Source organism: Homo sapiens, chromosome 18 (genome assembly GCF_000001405.40).
Source record: "Homo sapiens chromosome 18, GRCh38.p14 Primary Assembly".
In the NCBI taxonomy this organism is placed as follows: Eukaryota; Metazoa; Chordata; class Mammalia; order Primates; family Hominidae; genus Homo; species Homo sapiens.
The window spans coordinates 79,895,549-79,923,071 of NC_000018.10; the positions used below are offsets into that span (position 1 = coordinate 79,895,549).

Consider the following 27,523-nt stretch of genomic DNA (forward strand, 5'->3'; position numbering starts at 1 on the left):
TCTAATGTTATGATTGATATAGTTGGGTCTGTGTCTGCTTTTGATCGGGTTCTTCATTCTTAACGATTGATATAGTTGAGTCTGTGTCTGCTATTGATTGGGTTGTTCACTCCATTCACATCTAATGTTACGATTGATATAGTTGAGTCTGTGTCTGCTTTTGATTGGGTTGTTCACTCCATTCCCATCTAATGTTATGATTTATATAGTTGGATCTGTGTCTGCTTTTCATTGGGTTGTTCACTCCATTCACATCTACTGTTTTGATTGATATAGTTGGGTCTGTGTCTGCCACATCTTATTTTCTGTTTCATGCACCTCACGGAGCACGTTGTTTCTGTATCCTTCCTTAACTGCTTTCTTTTGCATGGGGTGAATATTTTCTAATGGAGCATTTTAATTCCACTAATTAGATATATATATGTATTTTTTTTTGAGATGGAGTCTCACTGTGTTGCCCAGGTTGGAGTGCAGTGGCACAATCTCTGCTCACTGCAGCCTCCACATCCTGGGTTCAAGCAATTCTCCTGCCTCAGCTTCCCAAGTAGCTGGGATTATAGGCGCATGCCACCACACCCAGCTAATTTTTGTATTTTTAGTAGAGACAGGGTTTTGCCGTGTTGGCCAGGCTGGTGTAGAACCCCTGACCTCAGGTGATCCATCTGCCTTGGCCTCCCAAAGTGCTGGGATGACAGGCATGAGCCACCACACCCAGCCCACTAATGATATTTTAAAGTTTTTTTTTTTTTTAGTTCTTTCTTTTAGTGGTTGCTCTGGAGTTTACCACAAATAATCAGAACCTACTTCAGGTTTGTGCGTAATTCCAGTGAGATGGAGATATTATGCCTATAGAGCTGTATTCACTTTTCTCCCTTTTGGTGCGATTGTTGTAATACACATTGTTACAATTGTTGCTTTTGCTTCACTGTCATTTCCTTAGACCATTACACTTTTGCTCCCACACACCTCCTTTGTGCTTTTATTGGCAAATACATTGCACATATATTACATTTCTATATGATGCAAGCTTAATACGTTATATACATCTTATTTTTATACAGTTGCTGTTCAAATCCGTTAAAAAATTCATTTATAGTGTCTTTTCTAATTACATAATTACCTTTACTAACACTTTTTGTGTCGATCCAGATTATCATCTGGGTTCACTTGCTTTCAGCCTGAAGAACTTTCTTTAGTATTTCTTGTGAGGCAGGTCTGCTAGCAGTGAATTCTCTCTATTTTTGTTTACCTGGGAAAGTGTTTATTTTTTACTTTCATTTTTCAGCAGTAACTTTGCTGGATATAGGATTCTTGATTGGCAGGGTTTTTTTCCTTTGAGCACTTTGGATGTGCTATCCCACTGCCTTATGGCTTGCAGTGTTTCTGCTGGTAAGTCAGCCGTTTATTTGTGAACTTCCCTTGTAAGTGATCTTCATTTTGCTCTTGCTGCTTCAATACTTTTTCCTTGTCTTTGACCTTCGTTACTTGTATTATGATGTGTCCACCTGCGGGCCTCTGTGTTTATCCTGCTGGGAGTTCATTGAGCTTCCTGGATATGTAGGTTATTGTTTTTAAAAAATTGTTTTTTTTTTCAGCATTATCTCTCTGCATAGTTTTTCTTTTCCCTTCTCTCCTCTCCTTGGGTATTCCCATTATGCATATATTGGTGCATATAACGGTGTCCCACACTTCCTAAAGCGCTGTTTGGTTTATTCTTTTTCTCTCTATTCTTCAGCATAATTCCTGTCAAACTCTTCATGTTTACTAATTCTTTTCTCTGCCAGTTAAAATCTACTTTTAAGCTTTTCTAGTGATTTTTAAATTATTTTATTTCAATTATTGCACTTTTCAATTCCAGAATTTCCGTTTGGGTATTTTTTTAAATGTCCATCTCTTTACCAACAGCCTCTATTTGTGGCATGTTCATTTATGCGTCCTTTAGTTTTGTGAACATATTGATAGTGGCTGCTTTGAAATCTCATTCAGTTAAATTTGACATTTGGTCACTCTCACAGCAGTTTTTGTTGCTTTCTTCCTAATGTATGAGTCATACTTTCCTTCTTTTTCTTTTTCTTCCTTCCCTCCTCCTCCTCCACATACCCTGTCATTCTTTGTTAGAAACTGGACATTTTAGACAAGATATTCTAGCCCTTTTGGTAGTCCCCATCCTGGGCCTGTTATTCACTGGTTTAGTCTTTGGTGACTGGCTGGCTTACTGTTGTGATGCCTGTGTGCCCCTCTTCCTCCCCAGCAACAGTCTCGGTGTCGAAGCACCAGTGTGCCACCGTCACCCTGGGATGACAGGGCTTGGGGAGCAACCTCTTCTCTGTCTCACTGACCACACCCAGTAGTTAAACTCCTAGCAGCCAGCTGAAAGCTCTGTTATTCCTTTACAACCTGCTCATATCGCAGCTCCTTCTCATTGCTTTCTGAGAGTGCCTGACATTGCTCTGACCCCAGGAGGGCTCCTGCCAGCTGTCTTCTCCCCTCATTCCCCGGCACCTTAGCCAGCGTGCAGTCTAGGCTACGTGGTCAGCACACGCATGAATCCTAATTCCCTTCACCACCACCTCCAATAGCGTTGAGAGTGCCCTTCGGTGTAAACTTCTTCATGTTCCATTGCAAAGGAAGTCAGTTCCTTTGAGAAGAGATTACTTCCTTCATCTCCCTCCAGGCAGGAATCTCTGAGCCAGGGATTTGGGGGATGGGGACAGCTGCGAGCCTCAGTGTGAATGACACCCTCCCTCTCTAGGAGCTGAGAGCTTGATAGCACCCTGAGACCCCATTGGCCTCTCCTGGCCTGGAATCACTGCAGCAAGGGCAGTCAGGCCCTGCCTTCTCAGTGTGCCACACCCAAGGCCAGCCTCCCACCCACGAGAGTGGGGACTGGGCAGGAGGAGGGAGCCCCACCCCTCCACCGGACTCCCCAAGGACGTAGCCCCAGGAGCTGAGGGCGGAATGTGAGATGCTGATGTCAGCCCTTTCTAGGGAAGAAGCCCTCCTGACTGGGAGCTGTGGGTGGGGTGGAGGTGGGGGTGGGGGTCTGTGTTCGTGGCTGCAGCCATTCCACGTGGCGTCTCCCCCTGGCCAAGCTGAGAAGGAGGATGCAGTCTTGACACAGATACCACAAATGCTCACCTTTCTTCCAGAATTTTCACATATAAATAGATGTTTCTTCGTTTGCTGTTTGCTCTTAAGACCATTTCCCAAGGCTTTAAAAGGTCAGGGGTTTTAACATTATTTTCACCAGTTTCCTGGGTCAGCTAAGCGCATCCGCTCTCAAGCCCGAAGTGATCACCATGAAATCTTGCTGGTTTTCTGGGTTTTTCCAACAGGAACTGGGCCTGTCAATATCCCCTGCACCCGCTTCCGTGGGTTGGGGCGGGAAGGGTGGCCTGGGGGACGCCTCTGGTCCTGGGAAAGGAAGGGCAAGGCGCCCCCGGCCCTCCAAGAGGCCTGCGCCCCCAACCCCGTGTCCCCTCTCCCCGCAGGGCGAGTGCTCCCCCAAGTGCCGCAGCCTGTTCGTGCTGGAGACCGTGTGCGTGGCCTGGTTCTCCTTCGAGTTCCTGCTGCGCTCCCTGCAGGCCGAGAGCAAGTGCGCCTTCCTGCGCGCGCCACTCAACATCATTGACATCCTGGCGCTCCTGCCGTTCTACGTGTCGCTGCTGCTGGGGCTGGCGGCAGGCCCGGGCGGGACCAAGCTCCTGGAGCGCGCGGGGCTGGTGCTGCGGCTGCTGCGTGCGCTGCGCGTGCTCTACGTGATGCGCCTGGCGCGCCACTCGCTGGGGCTGCGTTCGCTGGGCCTGACCATGCGCCGCTGCGCGCGCGAGTTCGGGCTGCTGCTGCTGTTCCTCTGCGTGGCCATGGCGCTCTTCGCGCCACTGGTGCACCTGGCCGAGCGCGAGCTGGGCGCGCGCCGCGACTTCTCCAGCGTGCCCGCCAGCTATTGGTGGGCCGTCATCTCCATGACCACCGTGGGCTACGGCGACATGGTCCCGCGCAGCCTGCCCGGGCAGGTGGTGGCGCTCAGCAGCATCCTCAGCGGCATCCTGCTCATGGCCTTCCCGGTCACCTCCATCTTCCACACCTTTTCGCGCTCCTACTCCGAGCTCAAGGAGCAGCAGCAGCGCGCGGCCAGCCCCGAGCCGGCCCTGCAGGAGGACAGCACGCACTCGGCCACAGCCACCGAGGACAGCTCGCAGGGCCCCGACAGCGCGGGCCTGGCCGACGACTCCGCGGATGCGCTGTGGGTGCGGGCAGGGCGCTGACGCCTGCGCCGCCCACACGGAGACCCCCTGCCCCCTCCAGCTGCAGCGTCGGGACCCCCGAGGTGCGCCAAGGGGTGGGGGGCGTCTGGCCTGGGGGAGCGGCTCCTGCCGGCCGCGTCCTCGGCCCTCGTGCGTGAGCAGCCCCAGAACTTGGCGGGGCCCTGCCTGACTCCCCGTGGCAGCGCTGGGCAAAGTCACTGGCCTTTGTCCTCCTGCCCCACCCCTTTCCTTGGATTTTTAATTTTCTACGCCTAGCTAAAAATAAATTTAGTAAGTCCGAGAGATTCCACGCCTGCTGTGGATGACTTCATCCCCCTGCCTCCAGCCAGGGAGGAGGGAGCACGGCCCCTGCCAAGCCCCCATGGCATCCGGAATGGGCAGGTCCCTGCAGAAGGAGGCCCTCCGCATCCACCTCTGCCCAAGGCCACATCACCTTCCCAGGGATGGGACAGAGGTTTGAGCCAATGCTCACAGCACCCCCAGTGCCACCGCAGTAACCGCCCTTTCGGGGGTCGGGGAAGAGGGTTCCAGCCCTGACCTCTAACCTCCATCCCCTGACACCACCTCCCTAGGGAATCTTTAAGGCTTGACCTCCGGGAGGGTGACAAGGGCCTCCTGACACTCCCTCTGCACAAGGTTGCGTGTGGCATTGCAACCCCTCCATGGCCTTGTTCTTCTGGGATCCTCCTGTCCCAGAACATGGCCTTGTTCTTCTGGAAGGAACTTTCGACATCGCGCTGCTCTATGCTTCATTTTAATGAGTTCATCCAGGAAACCTGAGACATGGTGGCCGCAGCCCGAAGCAGGAGGGGGACACCTCACCAGAGGGTCCCACTGTCCATTACACGGCAGCAGGAGTCTGTAGGGGACGCAGGTGTGGAGAAAGGGCAGGAGACGTGCATGGCCCCGGTGAGTGGCTGAGTGCAAGCCCCAGCCCCTTCTCCATGGCAGGCAACAGCCCACCGGGACCACCTGGGGCTCAGACCTGCCTCCCCCGACAGGCAGGTCAGCTGGTGCCCCAGGTGCCCACGACATGGCTGGGTCCGAGGACGCCAGGCACACAGCGCGGGGGAGGGTCTGGGAACTGGCTGTGCACTGAGGGCTTCCCTCTAACAGTGACAGCCTTGGGTGTCGCTCAGGAATGAGCAGAGCTTGCTACCGGTCTGAGAGGCCCGTGCAGGACAGCCCGAGGGGCCACACGCCGAGGCCGGTGCCCCCCACCCTCTGCTGCTTGTCCCAGCGTTGCTGGTGACCCCCAGAGACAGAAGGATTCCTCCTGTGTGGTGAGGTGCTGACCACCACGAAGACCCCCAGAAATAAACACAAGTTGTTCTTCCTCGGAGGGTCAGGTCAAAGGTGAGGGCCAGGTCAGAGGTGGGGAATGACGGGGGATAGGAGGTCTCGGACCTGCCCCTCCCCACCCTGGGCTGCAGGGTCTGGTGGGGGAATCCCAGAGCCCTCCAGGACCAGGGCCCACCAGAGACCACCCTGGGTCACCAGGATGGGGGTGCCAGGCAGTTGTGCTGAGACTGGGGTGGGGGTACATTTCCTCCTGAGCAAGCGGCCCACCCAGCCCCTGGGCATCCTTTTCACTCTACAGGTGCCCAGTGGGCCGCTCTCTCACACAAGCCCCTGGGAAGGGCACAGGGCTGGGGCTCAGGGCAGGTCTCAGTTTCCTCATGGGGTGAGGGGAATGTGAACTTCCCAGGCTCTCACAACCCGCTCTCTCCCACGGAGGGGCCCTCACTGGGAGCCCTCCTCGGCCTCCTGCTTCCTTGGTGCTTCTTTGTTGCTTAAAACCATCAGAAGGCATCACAGGGTGGCAGTGACCTGAGAGTTCAGAAACGCAGCTATTTCCACCGCTGCCCCCACCTGCCACGGCCCCTGCAGTGCGGGGCTGAGACCTTGCTCCCATTTCCTGTTAAAACCCAGAGTGGTCCCCAAGAACCGCCTGTCTCCACACCCTGAAGACACACAACCCCATCCCTGCGCTAGATCTCGGGTTCATCTGGCACCGCCCGCCAGCACTTGAGGAGGGCGATTTGCATCTGAGACGTTCCAGACACGCTAGCCTTCATCATCTCCAGTCTTCCCCCAGGCTGCTGCCTGGACGTGGCCTGTGCCCTCTCCTAGTACCCAGATGGGCCCTTCAACCCAAATCCTGCCCTGCACCCACACACCTGGTTTTTTACTGGACAAAGAAACATCTTGCCTTCAATGTAAACTGCACAGAAAAAATCGCTATGCACACACAGCTCCATCTGTATGTGCTGCTCCAAGATCGCAAATCTGGAAACACTTCTCTTGGCCTTTACAGGAGACCCTTCCCATGCTCTAAGCCTTCGGTGGTGGGAGGCAGAAGGGCGGATGTGGCCAGGGCAGCTAGAGGCAGTGCCAGACCCGTCTGTGAGGAGCCAAAAGGACCCCCGGGCTGCCGGCCCACAGGCACAGGCCAGTGACAGGTCGAGGGGGCTGGGCTGTTGTTTGGGGCCCTGGAGGAACCCAGGTCACACAGGGGCCTTCTAAGGTGGCCCAGGCTACAAGGGTGTGTCTGGGCAGAGGCCAGGACCACAGCCAGATCCTTCCCTCTGCCCAAGGCCAACTCAGGATCCACAAATGGTTTATTGATTCCAAGTCGCCACACAGGGTACATTCAGCAGTCACTGCGCCTGCAGTCGGCGACAGTTTAATGTGAGGCAATTACCGCTACAGACATCTTGCTTCATCTTAAAAAAATAAAAATTTTCAAAGCATCTCACAGGCCAAAGAGCTAAGCAGGACCCTCACTCAGACATTCAAGAGTGTTTCCGAGGAAAACTCGAGGAGGAGGCAGCGTGGAACATCTTCCCATGGCCACGGCCCCGGCACAGAGCTCAGATGCCTGCGGGAAGCGGCCCCTCCACCTGCGGAAGGGAAGACGATGCCTGTTGGAGCCGCACGGAAGCATCCAGAACTCTGAGGCCTGGGGGCCGGCTGCGGTCAGTGCAAGGCTGCTGACATGGTGTGACCTCTTGCAACGGGGTGGGGGCAGAGCGTGCGGTGACAAGGGTCAGACTGGCGGCTCCCACTGCAGCCAGAAGTGAGGGAGCCAGCACACGGGGGTGGGCAGTGGACAGGACAGGATGCGGCAGGCCCCAGTACCCCCCACTCAGGAATTTGCTTCAGGCCAAAAGCCCAGGGCAGCAGGGTAAGGCGCCATCGGCCAGGACCTGCACGGCAGGGGCAGCCCCCTCCACTCCCTGGACCCGAGACCGTCTCTCCTGGAAGATGGACATCAAAACTGCATCCGGAGGTGCAGTCTGCACCCAGAAGGAAGGGGATCTCCGCCAGCAGAGCCCAAGAGTGGCGTGCAGACTGCATGTGCACAGCCTCAGCCCGGCCCCCTCAGCCATTGCCCATGAGGGCCTCCACGTTGTCTGATGGTCGCTGGCATCTGCCACGTCCCCAAGGACTCGAGGAGAACCAGAGGCTGACAAGAGCAGCATGAGCTAGCCCTGGCGATGCTCAGCCGGGCTGGACACAGCGGATCCACAAGGCGTTCAGGCCTCGCAGCCACTCCAAAGGCCCAGGAAACACCGACTGTCAGAAAACCCGGAGCACGGTGACCCTGCGTCCGCACAGCCGCCTTTCCGTGTGTACCAGGCAGAGAAAGCCCCAGCCCTCCCCCGTGCCAGACCCCTGGGTAGCAGAGGCCACCCCAGTCCAAGCAGGGTGTCTGGCCAGGGTGTCACGGGGTCGAGGGCTCCGCTCACAGGCCTTACAGGGTCTCCTGCGGTCACCCCAGCTTCAAGGTTCGCGGCTGCTGGCCCGTGTGTCCACCTGGAGCAGGTTCCTGCAGGCCGCCCAATGTGTACCTTGGGCTCAGACGGTGTTTCATAAGAGGAAATGGGGAAAACACTTGCTTTTTATGTCATCCTAAAAACATCCAAAACCCTCGGGGCCAGATCAACCCTGGCTGTCCCCGCTGAGCACAAACAGCGTCCCAGCCCCACCCCCACTGCCCACCCTGAGACACCCCACAGAGGCTGATGGAGACCCCAATGCCCATGCCCCATCTCTGCCACACCTGCAGGGGCCACAGCACCCACCCTCCCCGCGGGGAGGTCAGGGCCCACCAGTGCCCGCGGCTGGCGGTCCCACATCCTCGTCCTCCCCACTGTCAGAGGGCCTTGGTGCCAGTGGGGTGCACGGCGTGGGGCGCCGGCTTCTGGGGGTGGCGGGCGAAGGCGTAGGCCTGCCCCAGGATGGCCAGGTCCACCAGCACCTGCAGCAGGCCGCACACGGAGAACTGCAGAGGGGCACCCTTCAGCAGGAAGTAGGCCGTCTTGAAGGCGTCACCACTGGTCCACATGAGCACCATCTTGATGCTGTGGAGACACAAGCAGGCGGTCAGCGGTGGGGAGGGCGGCGACCTGGGCTCAGTCAGTGGGGAGGCCTGGGGCTTAGACAGCGGGGAGACCTGGGGCTCAGGGGCACCCAGGGGGCTAAGGGGACCCCCAGGCAGTCGGCGGGGAGGCCTGGGGCTCAGGGGGCACCCAGGGGGTTGAGGGGACACCCAGTCTACAGGGTGACCCAGGGGTCAGGGACACCCCAGGGGGCCAAAGGACACACCCTGACCCCACCTGTCCCATGCAACCCCCACCCTTGACTTCTCTGTGGCCGCAAGAGCTGCCGCCTGGCTGGGGCTCTGCAAGCCCAAGAACAGTGAGACCAGCTCGAGGCTACAGGGGACAGCAGGGCGAGCAGCTGACGTCAGGGCCCCTGGTGCGCGGTGGCAATTCTGGGAGGGGCCGGGCCTGGGAGGGTGCTGAGGACGCAGATCTGTGCCCCCAGGCACACAGCCAAGTGGAGCAGAGCAGCTGCTTTTGGGTCTCTGCCGGCCTCCCTCCCTGGTGATAGATGCAAACCTTCCTTTCCTGGAGTGAACAGGGAGCAGCCGCCACCCACCATCCCAGTCCGAACACGCTTCCCCCACCGCTGTGTTCATGCCCTGGCTTGCCTAGCAGTGAACATGAGTGCTGCTGCACTTTCCCGTGTGAAATGTTTAAATCAGCGGCCGCTGACCCTTCCACAGCTCCTGAAGCCAGAGGCAGAGCCTGGGTGGGGAGCGCTGCCTGGACAGAAAGGACAGGACACAGCCCTCCCCCACCCTGGGGCGTCCGTCCCGCTCATAAGCCAGGGTGGGCACCTGGGTGCCGTAGCCGCCCTGTGTGAGAGTCTTCAGGCACAGCCATGGCCGGGTGTGTTCAGGGCTGGAGCTAGGAACCCGCAGGAGACAGCCGGCATCTGCACCCCCTCCTCTCTCCCAAGCCCACAGTGCTCGGCTCTAGAGCATCTTGTTGGCCTCTGAGAACATAAATCCGGCTTTATCATTACACCCACTGGGAAAAACCAGGAGGCTTTGGGACTGTTTCCACTTGGGTCGGTTTAGCTAAATTATAAGGCCCTGACCCACAGAGGGCATTTTCCTCCCATTTTTTATTCTCTGGGATGTGTCCTCCCCTGGATGCAGCTCCAGCTCCACAAAATCCAGTCTCTTCCACAGACAAAAAGACAGGGTGGTGCCTGGGTAGCACCGGGGGAAGGTGGTGCAGGCCCCTCGGCCTCTCACACACCCCAGCAGTCAGCCCAGGCTTCGGAATTCCCCCCTGCCTGCTTTAGGCCCAGGCAGGGCTGCACAGCTGACTTGGGGTGGGGCTCCGGGCCTGGGACCACAGCCCCGGTGCAAAGGCGCCTGCCTTTCCTGCGCTAGCCATGCACACAGCAGGCGCCCGAGCATTGCGCGGTGACCCCGCCACCGGTCACCTTCGCCCCACGCAGCTTCCGGTTGACCCCTCACACCAGGATGGGAAACAGAGCTCGCCTGACCCTCACACACGGCTGAGATTTCCCAGGATGTGCTTGCGAACAAGACTCAAGGCCTGAGAGCCACCACCACGCCTGCTTCAGGGACAGGCTACTTCCCACACAAAGCCCGTGGCTTTACTTGGCATGCAGCATCAGCTCACACTTGAGTTTCAACACTTTGTTTCTAATCAGTTGGTAACTCTGTAAACACACACACACCCACACACAGACACAATTTCTGGCTTCTCTGGAAAAAGAGCCTTTTCAGACTTTAGATTATGCATCTACAACTTCCTTCATAGATACGGGTTATCTACTTAAGAGATACTCAAGCTATTTCTTCTTGGGTTAAAGGAATTGGTCCATTTTATCCAAATTTTCAAATGTATGGGCATGAGGTTGTTCATTGTACTCTTTTGATGCCTGTGGGGTCTACAGAATATCCTCTTCCATACCAAATACTGGGGATCTGTGCTTTCTTGTCATTCTGGCCACTGGTTTATCAGTTAATGATTTGTTCCAAAGAACCAGCTTTCAGTTTGGTTTTTTATGTTTGCTGCAGTTTTGTTTTCATTTTTGTTGCTTGGTGTTAGCTCCGTTATTTCCTTCCTTCTGCTGGCTTGGGGTTCCTTTGCATTTCATTTTATAGTTTCTTAAGCTTAGATTGATGATTTGAGAACTTTTTTCTAAAATCAGTATTTAATACTACACATTTAACTCTAAGCATTGCTTTAGTTGCATCCCACAAATTTTGATATGGTGGTGTATTTTTCAGTTCAAAATATTTTCAATAGTTTGCTTTGCAATATCCTCTTTAACAGATTGTTTAAAGGTGTGTTGTTTAGCTTCTAAACCTTTGGAGACTTAAGATCTATTTCTGCTATTAATTTCTAGCTTAATTATATTATATTCATAGAAAATACTTTGCACAATTTCAGTTCTTTTTTAAAAAAATTCTCATGACCCAGGATATGGTCTGTTTGGTGAATGCCCAACGGGCATCTGAAAAGAATGCGCACGTTCACTTGGCTGTTGATGGTGTTCAGATTTTCTACATCCTTGCTAACTTTGTCTGCTTTTTCTATCAGTTACTGAGGAAAGCTGGAGTCCCTAAGTGCAACTGGGGATTTGTCTTTGCATTTCTGTCAGTTCTGACCTTATGGACTTCCAGGCTCTGGGGTTCCATGCATACACACTCAGAACTGTTGTATCTTCTTGGTGAACTCACCAGTTTATCATGATGCAATGTCCTTTTTTATTCAAGGCAAATGTCCTTTACTTTGCCTGATATTAATACAGCGACTCCAAGCTTTCTTTGGTTCATATATGCATCTCTCACTGCATGGCCTCCTGGTCAATACATCCTGCACCCCAGCATCCGCCATGGATGTAATCAGACTTCAATTGAGTTTGCTGTAAACAGCAGGTAGCTGAGTCTTGTGTTTCTTTTTAAATTAATCTGAACATTGCTGTCCTTTAATTGGTATGATTAGGCCATTTACATTGAATGTTATTATTGACAGGTTTGAATTTAGATCGACCATTTTAATTTTTTTTGGTCTCAGCTTGTCCCTACGGTTTTATTCCTGCCTTCTTTTAGATTATTTGAAATTTTTAAAATATCCCATTTTAATTTATCTATTTGGTTTTTCACTGTATCTCTTTGTATAGTTTTTTTTTTTTTTGGTTGTTTTTTTTTTTTTTTTGAGAAGGAGTCTCGCTCTGTCACCCAGGCTGGAGTGCAGTGGCGCGATCTCAGCTCACTGCAAGCTCCGCCTCCCCAGTTTAAGCAATTCTTCTGCCTCAGTCTCCCAAGTAGCTGGGACTACAGGCGCCCGCCACCACACTCCGCTAATGTTTTGTATTTTAGTAGAGATGGGTTTCACCACGTGGCCCAGGCTGGTCTCAAACTCCTGAGCTCAGCCAATCCACCTACCTCGGTCTCCCAAAGTGCTAGGATTACAGGCGTGAGCCACCGTGTCAGGCCTGTATAGTTCTTTTAGTGCTCTAGGGCATTGGTTCCCAAATGGGAGTGATTATGACCCCATCCTCACACCCCTGCCCAAGGAAACATCTGGCAATTCCTGGAGACATTTTTAGTTGTCACAACTGGAGGAACACTGCTGGTATCTAGTGTGTAGGGGACCACGGATGCTGTTAAACATCCTATAATACCAAGATAGTCCCCCACAATAAGGGATTCTCCAGTTCAAAGTATCAATAGTGCTGCTGTTGAAAAATCTTATTCTAGGGACTATAATATATTTAACTTGTCAAAGTCTCCTTAGGATCAACATTTTATTACTTTAAGTGGAATGCAGAAGTCTTAGCACCAAGTTCACTATCGTCTCCCTCTTTTACATTGGACTTGTCACGTACAGCTACATTCACTAAAAACCCCACCAGACAATGTTATATTTTTTGCTAACTTTCACACATATTTTAAATAACTTAAGAAGAAAAATATATATATTATATTTACCCAGATATTGGCCATTTCTGTTGGTTTTCCTTCATTCCTGGAGTCCCAAGTTGCTCTCCTCCAGCGGAAGAACTTTTTTTAGTATTTCCTGTTGAGTAGCACTGCTGCCCATGACTTCGCTTTGTTTCCTTTCATTCGAGAAGGTCTTTATTTTGCCTTGATTCCTAAAGGAATTTTTTTTTTTTTCCTGAATATAGAATTCTGGGTCAAACGTTCTTTTCTTGCAGCATCTGAAAAATGTGCCACTTCCTTCTGACCTCCCTCGTTTCTGGTGAGAAACCCATAGTAATTTGGATCCTTTTCCTCTTAACTGCTTTCGACATTTTTTATTTGACTTTGATTCTTACCAGTTTGATTGTGATGTGATATGTTTGGGATTCACTGAACTTCTTACATCTATGTTTGTCTTTCACCAAATTTTGGGTGTTTTCAGCCCTTATTTCTTCAGCTATTTTTCCTCTGTGTCACACTCTCCTCTCCTCTGGGCTCAGATGACAGAATATTAGACCCTTTGGAATTTGTCCCTGACTCTATTCATGTTTTTGTTACTGTTTTTCAATTGCTTCCTGTTCAGAATGGACATTTTTTAATGATCTGCCTTCAACTTCACTATTTCCTCTCATCTCCATTCTACAGTTGTGTCGTGAAATATATTATTTAGATTATTGTATTTTTCAATTTAAAATTATCTATTTGGTTTTCTTTAAACTTCTATTTCTCTATGGAGATGTTCGGTCTTCCCGTTCATTCCAAGAACGTTTGCTCTTACCTGTTAGAGCACAGTTACAACAGTGACTTCAAAATCTTGGATAAGTCTGATCTGTCAGCCTGAGTTGGTTTCTATTGACTGTCATTTCCGTTGGCAGCTGAGAAACTCAACTCTTCATACATAACTTTGGTTTTTATCTTGGACATTCTGAACATTATGCAGTGAGATGTGAGTCTTCCATGGTCCTATCAACAGTGTTGCTTTTCCTGCTACCAAGCACTTCATGTGGTTAGATTCAGGGTGTGAGGTCTGACTTGTTTTTGGTGGACTGCAGTTCAATTTAATTCCATTTCAAAACCTCCCTTTTGATCTTTGGATCTGTCTTTCATGTGCAACACTCAGAGACAAGACTGGGACTTGAGCAGTCAACTGTCCACAATGACACTGAGTTCACAAAGCTGTTGGCATGTAGTTTAGGGCCAGATCTATGCATGTGTAGTTCAAGGGTGAGTCCAGAAACTTCACTACAGTGTCCCCAGTCTTCCTCACCACGATGTACCCAACCTTCCCCATCAGAGTACCACAGAGTCCTCAACCTTCCCCACAACCTCACCAGAGTCCCCAACCTTCCCCACAACCTCACCAGAGTCCCCAGCCTTCCCCACAACATCACCACAGAGTCCCCAACCTTCCCCACACCCTCACCAGAGTCCCCAGCCTTCCCCACCATCTCACCAGTCTCCAACCTTCCCCAGCATCTCACCACAGAGTCCGCAACCTTCCCCACATCCTCACCATAGAGTCCCCAACCTTCCCCACCATCTCACAACAGAGTCCCCAACCTTCCCCACCATCTCACAACAGAGTCCCCAACCTTCCCCACCACCTCACCAGAGTCCCCAACCTTCCCCACATCCTCACCATAGAGTCCCCAACCTTCCCCACCATCTCACAAGAGTCCCCAACCTTCCCCACCACCTCACCAGAGTCCCCAGGCTTCCCCACCATCTCACCACAGAGTCCCCAACCTTCCCCACACCCTCACCATAGAGTCCCCAACCTTCCCCACCATCTCACCACAGTCCCCAACCTTCCCCACAACCTCACCAGAGTCCCCAGCCTTCCCTACAACCTCACCAGAGTCCCCAGCCTTCCCCACACCCTCACCAGAGTCCCCAGACTTCCCCACACCCTCGCCAGAGTCCCCAGCCTTCCCCACCATCTCACCAGTCTCCAACCTTCCCCACACCCTCACCATAGAGTCCCCAACCTTCCCCACACCCTCACCAGAGTCCCCAACCTTCCCCACATCCTCACCATAGAGTCCCCAACCTTCCCCACATCCTCACCATAGAGTCCCCAACCTTCCCCACATCCTCACCATAGTCACCAACCTTCCCCACCATCTCACACCAGAGTCCCCAACCTTCCCCACCACCTCACCAGAGTCCCCAACCTTCCCCACCACCTCACCAGAGTCCCCAACCTTCCCCACCACCTCACCAGAGTCCCCAACCTTCCCCACCACCTCACCAGAGTCCCCAGGCTTCCCTACCATCTCACAACGGAGTCCCCAACCTTCCCCACACCCTCACCATAGAGTCCCCAACCTTCCCCACCATCTCACAACAGAGTCCCCAACCTTCCCCACCATCTCACAAGACTTTTTCTAGTTCACTCTCTTCTAAATTTGAGCATTTTTTTCGCATCACACATGAATGAACTAAGCTGTAATTTAAGGCAAGTTTAAGCTGTAATTTAACATTTTCTCATTCTAAAAGAGACCATATGAACCACACAAATCCTATATAAAGGACCAAAGACAGGTGTAAAATAGAGAAACGTGGCACCCCGGAGAATCTGCTGACTGTGTCTATTTTGCCCAGGGTTTCCCATATGGCTGGGCGTGTTCCAGTGTAGACGGAGGAGGCCAGGGCACGTTTGTTTTGGCTGCTTTGACAGACAACGTCCCTCCTCACACAGCGGCCACACAAGTTAACTGTGAACAACTTTCAAACTATCTTCAGTGAAACAGTCAAAGCAAGCAACCCAGACCTAGAGAGACAGCTTTTAGCTCCCACTGTAAAATCAGGTAAAGCCATGTGGTCTGCAACTTGGAATGCCCCTGGCTGCCAGGTGTGGCAGGGGAAGGGCTAAGAGGCTCACTGCAGCACCCACACCACGGCCTCAGGTGGGGACAAGTGGGAAGGTGATGCCTGAGCCCAGCCCCCAGGAAGGAAGAGCAGAGCCTGGAACAGCGTGGGCTGCTTTGCTGTCTGGAGGGAAATCGGGGGTCGGGGCCACTCCTGAGGCCCCAACCACACAGGCAGAGCCCAGGCCCATTCGGAGCCCACCCTAGGAGGGGGCTGGTTAGCCCTGAGGGGCCAGTGGGGGCCTGGACATCTTTCCGTCCCCTTCCCTGCTGACGCCTCCAACACACAGAACCCCAGGGAGCCAGGCAGGCCAGGAGGCAGGCGGCTGGCCCACGCCCCGTGAGGATTCCGCAGTGGCAGAGCTCAGGTCTGCACACACCAACAAAGACAGAGGGCTCCAGAGTTCCAGCCGGGACACAGCCCTGGTCAGACGGGGGCCGGCAGGACGTGCAGCTGAAGCCTGATCCCAGGACCACCTGTCCCTGTCCCCAGGTCACCGCCCGGCTCCCTCACTGTTAGCGTCCCCGGGGCCCTGACGCACAGGTGCGCTCTGCAGCATGGCAGCTGCAGGCACGGAGCCATCACTGGGCTGGGCTCTGCTGGCTGCGGGGACATTCCAGCTGCCGGGACGCTCTGTCAGAGAAGATGGCTCCACCACCATGGCACGGGGACTGGAATCCCAGCCATCCCCCACCCCCCTAGCTACATCATTTAGAGGGCAGGGGAGGGGACGGGAGCAGGGAGGGGACGCAGCAGGGAAGGGACAGGAGCAGGGAGGAGACAGGAGCAGAGGGGAGGCAGCAGGGAGGGGATGGAGCAGGAAGGGGACAGGAGCAGGGAGGGGAACAGTAGCAGGAGGAGATGGCAGCAGGGAGGGGACAGGAGCAGGAAGGGGACAGGAGTGGGGGGGACGGGAGCAGGGAGGGGACAGCAGCAGAGAGGGGACGGGAGCAGAGGGGACAGGAGCAGTGAGGAGACGGGAGCAGAGGGGAGGCAGCAGGGAGAGGACAGCAGCAGGAAGGGGACAGGAGCAGGGAGGGGAACAGTAGCAGGAGGGGATGGCAGCAGGGAGGGGACAAGAGCAGGAAGGGGACAGGAGTGGGGGGGACGGGAGCAGGGAGGGAGTGGGAGCAGGGAGGGGACGGCAGCAGCGAGGGGATGGGAGCAGGGAGGGGACGGAAAACAGGCTGGCAGCTCTGCAAATTATGAAACAGGGTCACATCCAACCGGCGATTCCACCCCCAGGTAGAAGGGAAAACTACGTCCACATAAAAACTCGTTCATGAGTGTCCATCACATGTAACAGCATAAACGTTAAACAACCAAATGTCCCTCAGCTGAAGAACGAAGAACGAAGAGCAAACGTGGCAAATCTATGGAAGGAACATTTTTCAACCACAAAAAGGAAAGAAACGCTGACCCCTTCTGCAGCATGGATGAACCCTGAGAATACGAAGTGCAGGGAAAGACGCCAAGCACAAGGTCACATATCGCCAGGCCACGTGTCGCCAGGCCACGTGTCACCAGGCCACGTGTCATCAGGCACCACTGATGTGATGTGTCCTGAAAGGCAAGCCCATGGAGATGGGAAGTGGAGGAGTGGCAGCGGGGGTGAGGAGGCTGGGGCGGTGGGAATGACTGCCAGTGGCCGCGGGGTTGCTTCCTGGGGTGCGGAAAATGTTCTGGAATTAGACCGTGGTGCTGGCTTGGCAGCCCCGTGAGTATGCTGTGATGTGAGTCACATCTCAGGCGGGTCACACTTTGTAATGTTCCAGAGCCTCCGCTGAACCCTCCTGTCACATGGGCCAGCCTGCGTGCACCGAGCTTGCTTCCTGTTAACCCAGGCATCCTGTGCAGCACTCACTCCACTCAGAACCACAGGGGCCTGCTCTGCATCAAAGGCATAAGGAAAGGCACAGTGGGTGAGGGGGGGTTCTGAGTGTCATGAAGACGTGGCCCCAGGGGAGACATGCCACATGCCCAGAGGCTGAGGACCCACACAGCCTGCTCTAGAGTTTGGGTAAGAGCTCGGCTTCTGGATCCAGCCCATGTCCTGGCTGGACAGGGGCAGCCCCAAGGGGTGAGGACTGACGTAGTTGAAATCCTCTCCTTGCGGGGCGGCCTGAGCCTCAGCTTCACCTGCTGCAGGCACCATGCCACACCTGCCTGGTCACCCATCCTCACTCAGCCACGGTGGTCACACACTGTCGGGGTCCACACAGGCACCTGCCCAGGCTCTTCCACAGCCACGGTGTCTGTATTCCGCATTTCAGGCTCCTCCCCATCTGTCAACACCAACGCACCCCCGCTGCCCTCATCATCTACACCCACCTCACCCTCCAATCCTTGTCAGGGAACAGTCTTCAAATCCAGTAAAAACTGGAGGAAGAGGAATGCAAACACTCTCAGAAAATCCGCCCTTCGGAGCCTGCTGTGTTAATTAGCAAAGCTGTTTCTGAAGCTTTATCACATCTCATTACTGGTTCAGAAACTACAACCACGTAGTATTTTCTAAAGGGAAGTCACTGTTCAAAAATGCCTCCGGCAGTTGCTCACAGGTGGAAACCGTGTGTGCATCGCTGTGTGTGTGTGCATGCGCGCACGCGCGCATGGAGGCAACTGTGCATGCCGGCCTGTGCACGTGTGTGCAAGTACACGAGACACAGGACTTTCCAGAAGCAGGGCTGCTACGAGATCAACTCGGGAATTCTTGAGTCACTTCCTATCAAACATCCTAGAGACCTTCGGTTTAATGTGGAGCTGAGGCTGTGGGTCCCAGGGAAGATTCCAGGCAGCATCTACGCCTCCCTCACCTAGGGCAGTGGCACTAGCAGGTCCCCAGAGAAAAGGAGCTGAAGTTCAGGCTGTCACGTTTCAGGCTCATGTCACCATTCGCCACCAAAGTCTTGTTTGTTTTTTTACATGGAGTCTCACTCTGTTGCCCAGGCTGGAGTGCAGTGGCGCGATCTTGGCTCACTGCAACCTCCGCCCCCCAGGTTCAAGTGATTCTCCTGCCTCAGCTTCCTGAGTAGCTGGGATTACAGACGCCTGCCACACCTAGCTAATTTTTGCATTTTTAGTAGAGACAGGGTTTCACCATCTTGGCCAGGCTGGTCTTGAACTCCTAACCTTGTGATCCACCTGCCCTGGCCTCCCAAAGTGCTGGGATTACAGGCGTGAGCCACCGCGCCCAGCCCAAAGTCTTGGTTTTTTGGGTATCTGTTAAGTACGTGTGTGTGCACATTTTAAATACGTCATCTTAAACACGACCCTGGAGATTATACAGGAAGCACACATGATCTATCAAACCTGCATTCAGAAACCACTACCCACAATGGCTTCAAGAATCACAACTCCTGACAGGGCTGGGGATACCACGACGCCCCCATCAGGCAGATCGGAGCACAAAGGAACCTGAGACGTCTCTGACCTGCCTCCAGATGGGGGGTGGTCTGACAGCAGGAAGTGGGGGGTCACTCCAGCCCACCCCAAGGCTGCCGTGGCCCCGGAGGAACAGGCAGGTACCACAGGAGCACCCAGGAAGTGGCAAAGGGGAGAGACACCCCCTTGCCCAAGCTGCGTCTGGAGAGCGAGTGGAACCCAGGCCGGGGAGGGCTGAAGATCCACGGAGCGGTGGCCTGGACCCATGCGGAGAAGCCAGAAGACCACACAGCAAGGGGGGCAGAGGTGGGGACCCTGTGCCCCACAGGCTGCAGTGCCAAGGGAGGAAGGTGGGCAGGGCCCACAGGCCCAAAGAGACGGAGCTTCAGACGCGCAAGTGGAGCCGGCTCCAGACTCAGCCCTGCCCAGAGGGAGCCTCAGGAACAGCCCCCAGGTCGCCGGCCCTAGCCCTGCAGGCCCTGCCTTGCCCAGGCTGCCAGGTGGCGTCTCAGGTTGTGGAAGGCAGCTGCTGGGCCTCCAGAATTCACACTCGGGTGATACTAAAACCCAGGGCCAAGGTGAAACGCGGCGTCAGAGCAGCAGAAATAAGGACGTGCGGCACAAAGGCTGGGCCTGGAGTGGTCCTGTTCCCTTTCCCGTTTAGTGAGAACCCTCCCAAAACCTTCCCTCAGGCCATGCAGAGGCAACGTCCCCACAAGCAGACCCCAGACTTTGCCTGGCTGGCAGGCATGGGGTCAGGCTGGCTGTGCGTTCTAGCAGCAAACGCCTTATGTGTTCCAGTGGGAAAACCGCCCGATGGTCACTCTTAAAAGCGCAGACCGGATGAACTGGGCCTGGGGAGGGCTGAAGCTCCCGGCAGCACGGGCGGGGCCAGCCCCACCCCCTCCGCATCCCCCCAGGGCCCGCCCTGTCCCCTCCCCATCCCCCCGGGGCCAGGCCAGGGCCTCAGTGCACAGACTCTCCGGGGCGCTCATTACCGTAACTACAACCACACACTCCATCACTCCGAGCCGACCCGACGCTGCTGCTCCTGGTCCCCGTTCCTGACGAGGATGCACAGGGTCTCAGCGGTCCCGCACTTGAAGCTGGCTGACCTCGCTGCCTACTTCCTCCGCAGAGACTGCTCCATCTCCCTCAGCCTCAGGACTCCATCCAAGCCCTCACAACGTGCCAGCTGTGTGGGTCGCCCGTCTTCTGCCCGGCCCTCCCGGCAGGGACAGAGGCCAAGCCTCCTGTGGCCCGATGGGGAGATGGGGTGCCTGTGACATCCCGTCCCCAGCCACACCTGAGGTTTATAAAAGCAGAAGTTAGCCCAGGTGATCTCACAGGGGCTTGGCACTCACCCAGGGAGCAGGGCAAACTCAGAGGTAGAACACCTGCACCTCCTGGGATCCCTGAGACACGTTCCAAGTTCCGCAGCCAAGGAGAAGTATGCAGGCAAAGGACCATGACCCCGGCTCCCATCTCGCCCACACAGCACCCCCAATACTATTTTACATGTGTGTAAGTGTATCCGCATCCCACACACACGGGTTTTCATCCACGGTTCCAGGGTGCTAACTCCCACAGTGCTTCTGTACCCGCGGTGCTCTCATAGCCGCAGTGCTCCCGTACCCTCCCATACCCACGGTGCTCCCGTACCCATGGCGCTCCCATACCCACAGCGCTCCCGTACCCACGGTGCTCTCATACCCGCAGTGCTCCCGTACCCTCCCATACCCACGGTGCTCCCGTACCCGCGGCGCTCTCGTACCCGCAGTGCTCCCGTACCCTCCCATACCCACGGTGCTCCCGTACCCGCGGCGCTCTTGTACCTGCGGCACTCCCGTACCCGTGGTGCTCTCATAGCCGCAGTGCTCCCGTACCCGTGGTGCTCCCGTACCCGTGGTGCTCCCGTACCCGTGGTGCTCCCGTACCCACAGTGCTTCTGTAGCTCTTGTCATGACGTTGGGGTGCTTTAGGCCTCAGAAAACAGAATCTCTCTGACCTTTTGCCCTCTGTTCACCTGCCCAGGCAGGACTCTAACCCTCATTCCAGAGAGGGTCCTGCCGACATCCTGGAGGAAGGAGCCTGCACAGAGGACAGAAGAATCTCAACAGACCCTGCTGGGTTCACGTCGCACCCTTAGGTCCAATCACATTTCAACACCATTGTCCATCACGCCTATCCAATGAGGTCTCCCAAGTAGACAGGCTTTGGGAGGCTCCGGGGAGAGCTGAATTTGCGGGAGCCGGCAGGAGAGTGAACAGGAGCTCATCTGTGTGCCGTGAGGGCGGCAGCCCCACTCCACGAGACCGAGCTCCTGCCTGGGGACCCCTCCACAGCTCCCTCTGTGTATCCCCTCACTCGGCGGTTTATGTCTGTCCTTTAAAATGCTCTTTGTAAAATATCAGCAACCGTGTTTCCCAGAGCTCTGTGAGCCGCTCCAGCAAGCTGACAGAGCCCAAGGAGGGGTCATGGAACCCTAACATGGCCCAGAAGTTCCAGAGGCCCAGATTTGCGATGGGTGTCTAAGTGTGGGTGGCATCTGGCGCTGTCTCTGGGTCAGGACAACCGGCGGTGCCCGCCGCAGGACCGACTGCCTGCTCGGTGCTGGGGAGACGCCTGCACATGGAAGTGTGTGTGCTGCTTGTGGTGAAGTGAGTGAGAACAGGAAAAGCACGTCCAATGTGTTTCTTCCACACACAGACCCCCCTTCCACAGGCGTTTCTGGAGCCTTCCCCGTGTGTGAGAAGAGCAGACCTCAGGGCCTAAGACAGGCCTGCCTGCAGGGCCGCCTCGGCCAGCATCTGGAAACTCGGGTTTGAAGAGGATTCCCACGTCCCCCCAGCTGACGGGGCAGCCCCTGGGCTGAGACCTTGAACAACATGCCTGCGCTGAACAGCAAAACCTGCTACCCTGGAATCGAGAGCAACAGCTCCTGCCAAGCCTGGGGCCCCTGTGAGGTCACACACGGCCAGCTCCTTGTGAGGGGCCAGGAGGCCGGCATGTGGGGTCCGGATCCGCTAGACCCTCACCACGAGGCTGTGGTGATGCTCTGGAGGGCACAGGCCTGGCACCCAGGCACCTCCCACAGATCTCCAGGTCGCAAGCTCGGCACGCGGGCACTGCCCACAGGATCTCCAGCTGTGGGGTGGCTGGGGACGCCACACTCCGCCGGACAAGGCCCACGTCCAGCCGGGGAGCCTACATACGACGCCCGCCCTGAGACCCACTTTCTCTCTGGGAGCATCCCTGCCTTTTGGGCTCCACACCGAAGCCCTCAGGGCTGCCACTGCCCAACCCAACAGTGAGGGAGCCTGTTCCAGCCATGGACACCCTCTCGGGCCTCCATGCACCCTCGCCCGAGAAACCCCAGCAACCCCCCTGGTCTTGATTCACTGTAATCACACCAACCAGGGCAGCCCAATCCCCACCTGCACCCCACACCACACCCCAACCTGTACCTACCTCACACCATGCCAGCACCCCACACCTGACCCATGCCCCACACCTCTACCTACAGCCCACACCGGAACTCCATACCCCACACCCCAGCCCACACCTACACTTCACATCTGTGCCTATGTCCCACACCCACACCTACGCCACACACCTGTAACTGCAACCCACACCTATAACCCTGGCCTGCACCTACATCTCACCCCCTACCACCACCCCACACCTACGACAAGCCCTCCTACCTTTACCTCTCACGGGCAACTGAACCTACACACAACCCCCGGCCCTCACACCTCTGCCCACACGCCAAACCTGCAAATACTCAGAGGTCTCTGAAAGCCCTCAAGAGAGTGCTGTGGCCCCTGGGCACCCGTTCTCCAACACAAAAACGCGTCAGCCCCTCTCTTCCAGGCTGTTTCCCACAAATAACAAATCCAAGAATAACATTCCCTCCAAATCACAGCCTCAGCATCTGTATTGGAGACCAGACTCAAGCAACGTGTGGGGGCTCAGGGTGTTCTCCGTGAGGAGCGGGCACCGGGGGGCGGATCCCCAGTGAGGAGCGGGCCCGGGGGGGGGTCCCCAGTGAGGAGCGGGCACCGGGGAGGGTCCCCAGTGAGGAGCGGCACCGGGGGGTCCCCAGTGAGGAGCGGGCCTGGGGGTCGAAAGTGTGAGGGACTAGAGTTTTCTGCCCCCGCCACAGCGAGCAGATCTGTTTTTATTACAATGCAGTTTCCATCCAGGACCTTGACTGAGCCCGTGGGCATCATGCTGCTCGCGTTGTGCCCTACCTCTGGCGGTCACGGGGACGTCCAGGCACGCACTGGTGCAGGGCGCCCAGGCATGGTCTGTGGTTCCGAACGTCAGCCTGCCCAGCCTTCTACCACATACCTCAGAGGCCGGAGGCCGTGCTGGGGCCAGTGGGGAAAGACCGAGGACAGTGTCCAAGGCAGCCCCCAGACCACCTTCCCTGCCCCACCAGACCCGCCCTGACCCTGGGCCAGGCTGGTTGCCCTGCACTCCTCCTGCCCCGTCTGGCCAGGCACTCGGACATCCCTCCCACTGGAAGGTTCCGTCTCAACGGCCCTGAAGGAGCAGCTCCCAACCCCGTGCTGGGTCTCGGCTGCCCCTCATGCGGCCCACACAAGCTCATCTGCTCCAGCGCGAGGTCGAGGGGCCAAGGCCTATAAACCTGCTATTCTTTAACCGGCAGCTTCACAGGTCAACGTGGGAAATACACAGCCAGACACACAGGCGTTTGATTTTTACCAAATCTGCAGCCATGTGGTGCCTCTGGAGCAGTGGTGCTTCCGTGGCGGCATCCCCGGCCTACCTCATGCCCTCCGTGGACTGGTGGCGGTGGTTGCGGTAAAGCTGGGGCACACCCAGCATGGCTTCGGTCAGCACAGCCAGGAAGCCCAGGGTCTCCACAAACAGGGCGGAGTCAATGGACAGGTAGGTGATGTAGCCCGCCACGCCCGTGAAGGCCAGGACGCACTGCACGTAGTCCGAGAAGCTGCTCCACTGCCAGAAGTGGTGGGGGTCGAAGTCTAGGGCGAGAGGGAGAAGCAGCCTCAGCACAGCTTAGGGTCCAGGTGAGGAGTCAAGGTCAGTGGGGAGAGACGGAACCGAGTGAGAGGTCAAGGTCAGTGGGGAGAGACAGGAACCGAGGGAGAGGTCAAGGTCAGTGGGGAGAGACAGGAACCGAGGGAGAGGTCAAGGTCAGTGAGGAGAGACGGGAACCGAGGGAGAGGTCAAGGTCAGTGGAGGAGAGACAGGAACCGAGGGAGAGGTCAAGGTCAGTGGGGAGAGACAGGAACCGAGGGAGAGGTCAAGGTCAGTGGGGAGAGACAGGAACCGAGGGAGAGGTCAAGGTCAGTGAGGAGAGACAGGAACCGAGGGAGAGGTCAAGGTCAGTGAGGAGAGACAGGAACCGAGTGAGAGGTCAAGGTCAGTGAGGAGAGACGGGAACCGAGGGAGAGGTCAGGGTCAGAGGAGGAGAGACAGGAACCGAGTGAGAGGTCAGGGTCAGTGAGGAGAGACAGGAACCGAGTGAGAGGTCAAGGTCAGTGGGGAGAGACAGGAACCGAGGGAGAGGTCAAGGTCAGTGAGGAGAGACAGGAACCGAGGGAGAGGTCAGGGTCAGTGGAGGAGAGACAGGAACCGAGGGAGAGGTCAAGGTCAGTGAGGAGAGACAGGAACCGAGTGAGAGGTCAAGGTCAGTGGAGGAGAGACAGGAACCGAGGGAGAGGTCAAGGTCAGTGGGGAGAGACGGAACCGAGGGAGAGGTCAGGGTCAGTGAGGAGAGACAGGAACCGAGGGAGAGGTCAAGGTCAGTGGAGGAGAGACAGGAACCGAGTGAGAGGTCAAGGTCAGTGAGGAGAGACGGAACCGAGGGAGAGGTCAGGGTCAGTGAGGAGAGACAGGAACCGAGGGAGAGGTCAAGGTCAGTGGGGAGAGACAGGAACCGAGGGAGAGGTCAAGGTCAGTGAGGAGAGACGGGAACCGAGGGAGAGGTCAAGGTCAGTGGAGGAGAGACAGGAACCGAGGGAGAGGTCAAGGTCAGTGGGGAGAGACAGGAACCGAGGGAGAGGTCAAGGTCAGTGGGGAGAGACAGGAACCGAGGGAGAGGTCAAGGTCAGTGAGGAGAGACAGGAACCGAGGGAGAGGTCAAGGTCAGTGAGGAGAGACAGGAACCGAGTGAGAGGTCAAGGTCAGTGAGGAGAGACGGGAACCGAGGGAGAGGTCAGGGTCAGAGGAGGAGAGACAGGAACCGAGGGAGAGGTCAAGGTCAGTGAGGAGAGACAGGAACCGAGGGAGAGGTCAAGGTCAGTGAGGAGAGACGGGAACCGAGGGAGAGGTCAGGGTCAGTGAGGAGAGACAGGAACCGAGGGAGAGGTCAGGGTCAGAGGAGGAGAGACAGGAACCGAGGGAGAGGTCAAGGTCAGTGAGGAGAGACAGGAACCGAGGGAGAGGTCAAGGTCAGTGAGGAGAGACAGGAACCGAGTGAGAGGTCAAGGTCAGTGAGGAGAGACGGGAACCGAGGGAGAGGTCAGGGTCAGAGGAGGAGAGACAGGAACCGAGGGAGAGGTCAAGGTCAGTGAGGAGAGACGGGAACCGAGGGAGAGGTCAGGGTCAGAGGAGGAGAGACAGGAACCGAGGGAGAGGTCAAGCTCAGTGAGGAGAGACAGGAACCGAGGGAGAGGTCAAGGTCAGTGAGGAGAGACAGGAACCGAGTGAGAGGTCAAGCTCAGTGGGGAGAGATGGAACCGAGTGAGAGGTCAAGGTCAGTGGGGAGAGACAGGAACCGAGGGAGAGGTCAGGGTCAGAGGAGGAGAGACGGGAACCGAGGGAGAGGTCAAGGTCAGTGAGGAGAGACAGGAACCGAGGGAGAGGTCAAGGTCAGTGAGGAGAGACGGGAACCGAGGGAGAGGTCAGGGTCAGTGAGGAGAGACAGGAACCGAGGGAGAGGTCAGGGTCAGAGGAGGAGAGACAGGAACCGAGGGAGAGGTCAAGGTCAGTGAGGAGAGACAGGAACCGAGGGAGAGGTCAAGGTCAGTGAGGAGAGACAGGAACCGAGTGAGAGGTCAAGGTCAGTGAGGAGAGACGGGAACCGAGGGAGAGGTCAGGGTCAGAGGAGGAGAGACAGGAACCGAGGGAGAGGTCAAGGTCAGTGAGGAGAGACGGGAACCGAGGGAGAGGTCAGGGTCAGAGGAGGAGAGACAGGAACCGAGGGAGAGGTCAAGCTCAGTGAGGAGAGACAGGAACCGAGGGAGAGGTCAAGGTCAGTGAGGAGAGACAGGAACCGAGTGAGAGGTCAAGCTCAGTGGGGAGAGATGGAACCGAGTGAGAGGTCAAGGTCAGTGGGGAGAGACAGGAACCGAGGGAGAGGTCAGGGTCAGAGGAGGAGAGACAGGAACCGAGGGAGAGGTCAAGGTCAGTGGAGGAGAGACAGGAACCGAGGGAGAGGTCAGGGTCAGAGGAGGAGAGACAGGAACCGAGGGAGAGGTCAAGGTCAGTGAGGAGAGACGGGAACCGAGGGAGAGGTCAAGGTCAGTGACAAGAGATGGGAACCGAGCAAGAGCGTGAGGGGCAGCCGAGGGTCAGAGGAGGAGAGACGGGAACCCAGGGAGAGGGCAGGGTCAGAGGAGGAGAGACGGGAACTTGGGAGCAGAGTAAGAGGTCAGGGTCGGTGAGGAGAGATGGGAACTGAGCGAGGGGTCAAATCAGGGAGGAGCCATGTGTTCTTGATCATGCCCCCCTGAAGGAGCCTTGGTACAAATAATAACTCAACATAAAAGACGCTGACATCAGGCCAGGTGCAGTGGGCACCTACAGTCCCAGCTCTTCAGGGGCCAAGGAGGGAGGATCGCTTGAGCCCAGGAGTTGAGGCCAGCTTAGGCAACACAGAGACACTTGTCTCTTTGAAAAGAAAAAAAAAAAAAAAAAAGCTAAAATCCTTCAAATTAATCTTAATCTCTGAGAAGCCGTAGAGTGCAGGGAGTGCCCTGCACTGGATCTGACGCCTGGGTTAGGGGCGCAGCCCCCCTCGGGTTAACCACGGTCTCCTGTTCCTCAGATGTTACCAGGAAGAGACAGAGACCACTCCTAGGACATTCTGGGGATTCAACGAGTTGATCTTGAGTTCTACAACACGCCTCGGCCACGGTGCCGCTCAGTAAATCCGTACCACATCCCTCCTGCACGATGTCATTTGCTAGATGCTGTATTCTGTAGAAACCACACTCATAAGCACTCTCAGAAATTAGCAAATTAAAGGAGGCAGGTGGACATGTGCAGTCCAGGGGACATAGCGGCAGGGAAAAGGTGAACGGAGACAAACCTGCCAAGAAGCCTGCAAGGCCCGCACCTGACCTCTCCTTACAGCAGCAGGGCCAGGGCATGGGCTGCAGGGGTGGGGTGATGGGAGGCGGTGAGGTCGAGGGGGTTGGGGGTGCTGAGGGGTGAGGATAGAGGGATTGGGGGGGTTGGGGTATGGTGAGGTTAGGGGGGCTTGGGGGCATCAGAGGGCAGAGAGGCCAGGGGTGTCGGGGGCCGGCTGCCTGTGGGGCTGGCAGTGCAGTGAGGGCAGGGGTGGCCAGGCTGTGCACCTTCTCCCCATCCCCTTGGACCCTAGATCTGTGCCTCTCTTCCTGCTCCACCCTCTCTCACTCTGAGTGAGACGCTGCTCGGCATCCGAGCTGGAAAGGGGCTGCACAGG

General features: G+C 55.9%; 2 protein-coding genes across 18 annotated transcripts in view, besides 4 other annotated features; one reads left to right on the plus strand and one right to left on the minus strand.

The window, feature by feature from the left end:
* KCNG2 (potassium voltage-gated channel modifier subfamily G member 2) overlaps nucleotides 1-4,552 on the plus strand; it is a 102,163-nt gene extending 97,611 nt beyond the window's left edge. Inside the window, exon 4 of the mRNA NM_012283.2 lies at nucleotides 3,492-4,552. Within this exon, the coding sequence (NP_036415.1) occupies nucleotides 3,492-4,268 (777 nt within the window). The 3' untranslated portion in view covers nucleotides 4,269-4,552. The remainder of the gene's footprint in view (nucleotides 1-3,491) is intronic.
* Nucleotides 3,741-4,035: a silencer, noted in NCBI's record as "tiled region #1467; HepG2 Repressive non-DNase unmatched - State 18:Pol2". NCBI's record gives its function as "represses a minimal TATA promoter and a strong SV40 promoter by Sharpr-MPRA in HepG2 cells {active_cell/tissue: HepG2}" and the evidence as "EXISTENCE:reporter gene assay evidence [ECO:0000049][PMID:27701403]".
* Nucleotides 5,001-5,295: a silencer, noted in NCBI's record as "tiled region #11655; K562 Repressive non-DNase unmatched - State 18:Pol2". NCBI's record gives its function as "represses a minimal TATA promoter and a strong SV40 promoter by Sharpr-MPRA in K562 cells {active_cell/tissue: K562}" and the evidence as "EXISTENCE:reporter gene assay evidence [ECO:0000049][PMID:27701403]".
* Nucleotides 6,872-27,523, minus strand: part of SLC66A2 (solute carrier family 66 member 2) — a 49,234-nt gene continuing 28,582 nt past the window's right edge. For 9 of the 17 annotated variants that reach the window (NM_001146345.2, NM_025078.5, XM_047437831.1 and 6 more), the window contains 2 exons: nucleotides 23,636-23,852; nucleotides 6,872-8,635 (listed from right to left, as the gene is read on the minus strand). In NM_001146345.2, coding sequence (NP_001139817.1) covers nucleotides 8,428-8,635; nucleotides 23,636-23,852 — 425 coding nt within the window. In that variant the 3' untranslated portion in view covers nucleotides 6,872-8,427. Of the gene's footprint in view, nucleotides 8,636-19,841; nucleotides 20,147-20,639; nucleotides 20,932-23,635; nucleotides 23,853-27,523 lie in introns of those variants that run through there. The other 8 variants (NM_001146343.2, XM_047437837.1, XM_047437835.1 and 5 more) reach the window with 4 other exon arrangements.
* Nucleotides 8,619-9,254: an enhancer, noted in NCBI's record as "H3K27ac-H3K4me1 hESC enhancer chr18:77664167-77664802 (GRCh37/hg19 assembly coordinates)". NCBI's record gives its function as "activates a minimal SCP1, AML or CMV promoter by ChIP-STARR-seq in naive H9 embryonic stem cells {active_cell/tissue: H9 hESC(naive)}" and the evidence as "EXISTENCE:reporter gene assay evidence [ECO:0000049][PMID:30033119]".
* Nucleotides 16,824-17,740: an enhancer, noted in NCBI's record as "H3K4me1 hESC enhancer chr18:77672372-77673288 (GRCh37/hg19 assembly coordinates)". NCBI's record gives its function as "activates a minimal SCP1, AML or CMV promoter by ChIP-STARR-seq in naive H9 embryonic stem cells {active_cell/tissue: H9 hESC(naive)}" and the evidence as "EXISTENCE:reporter gene assay evidence [ECO:0000049][PMID:30033119]".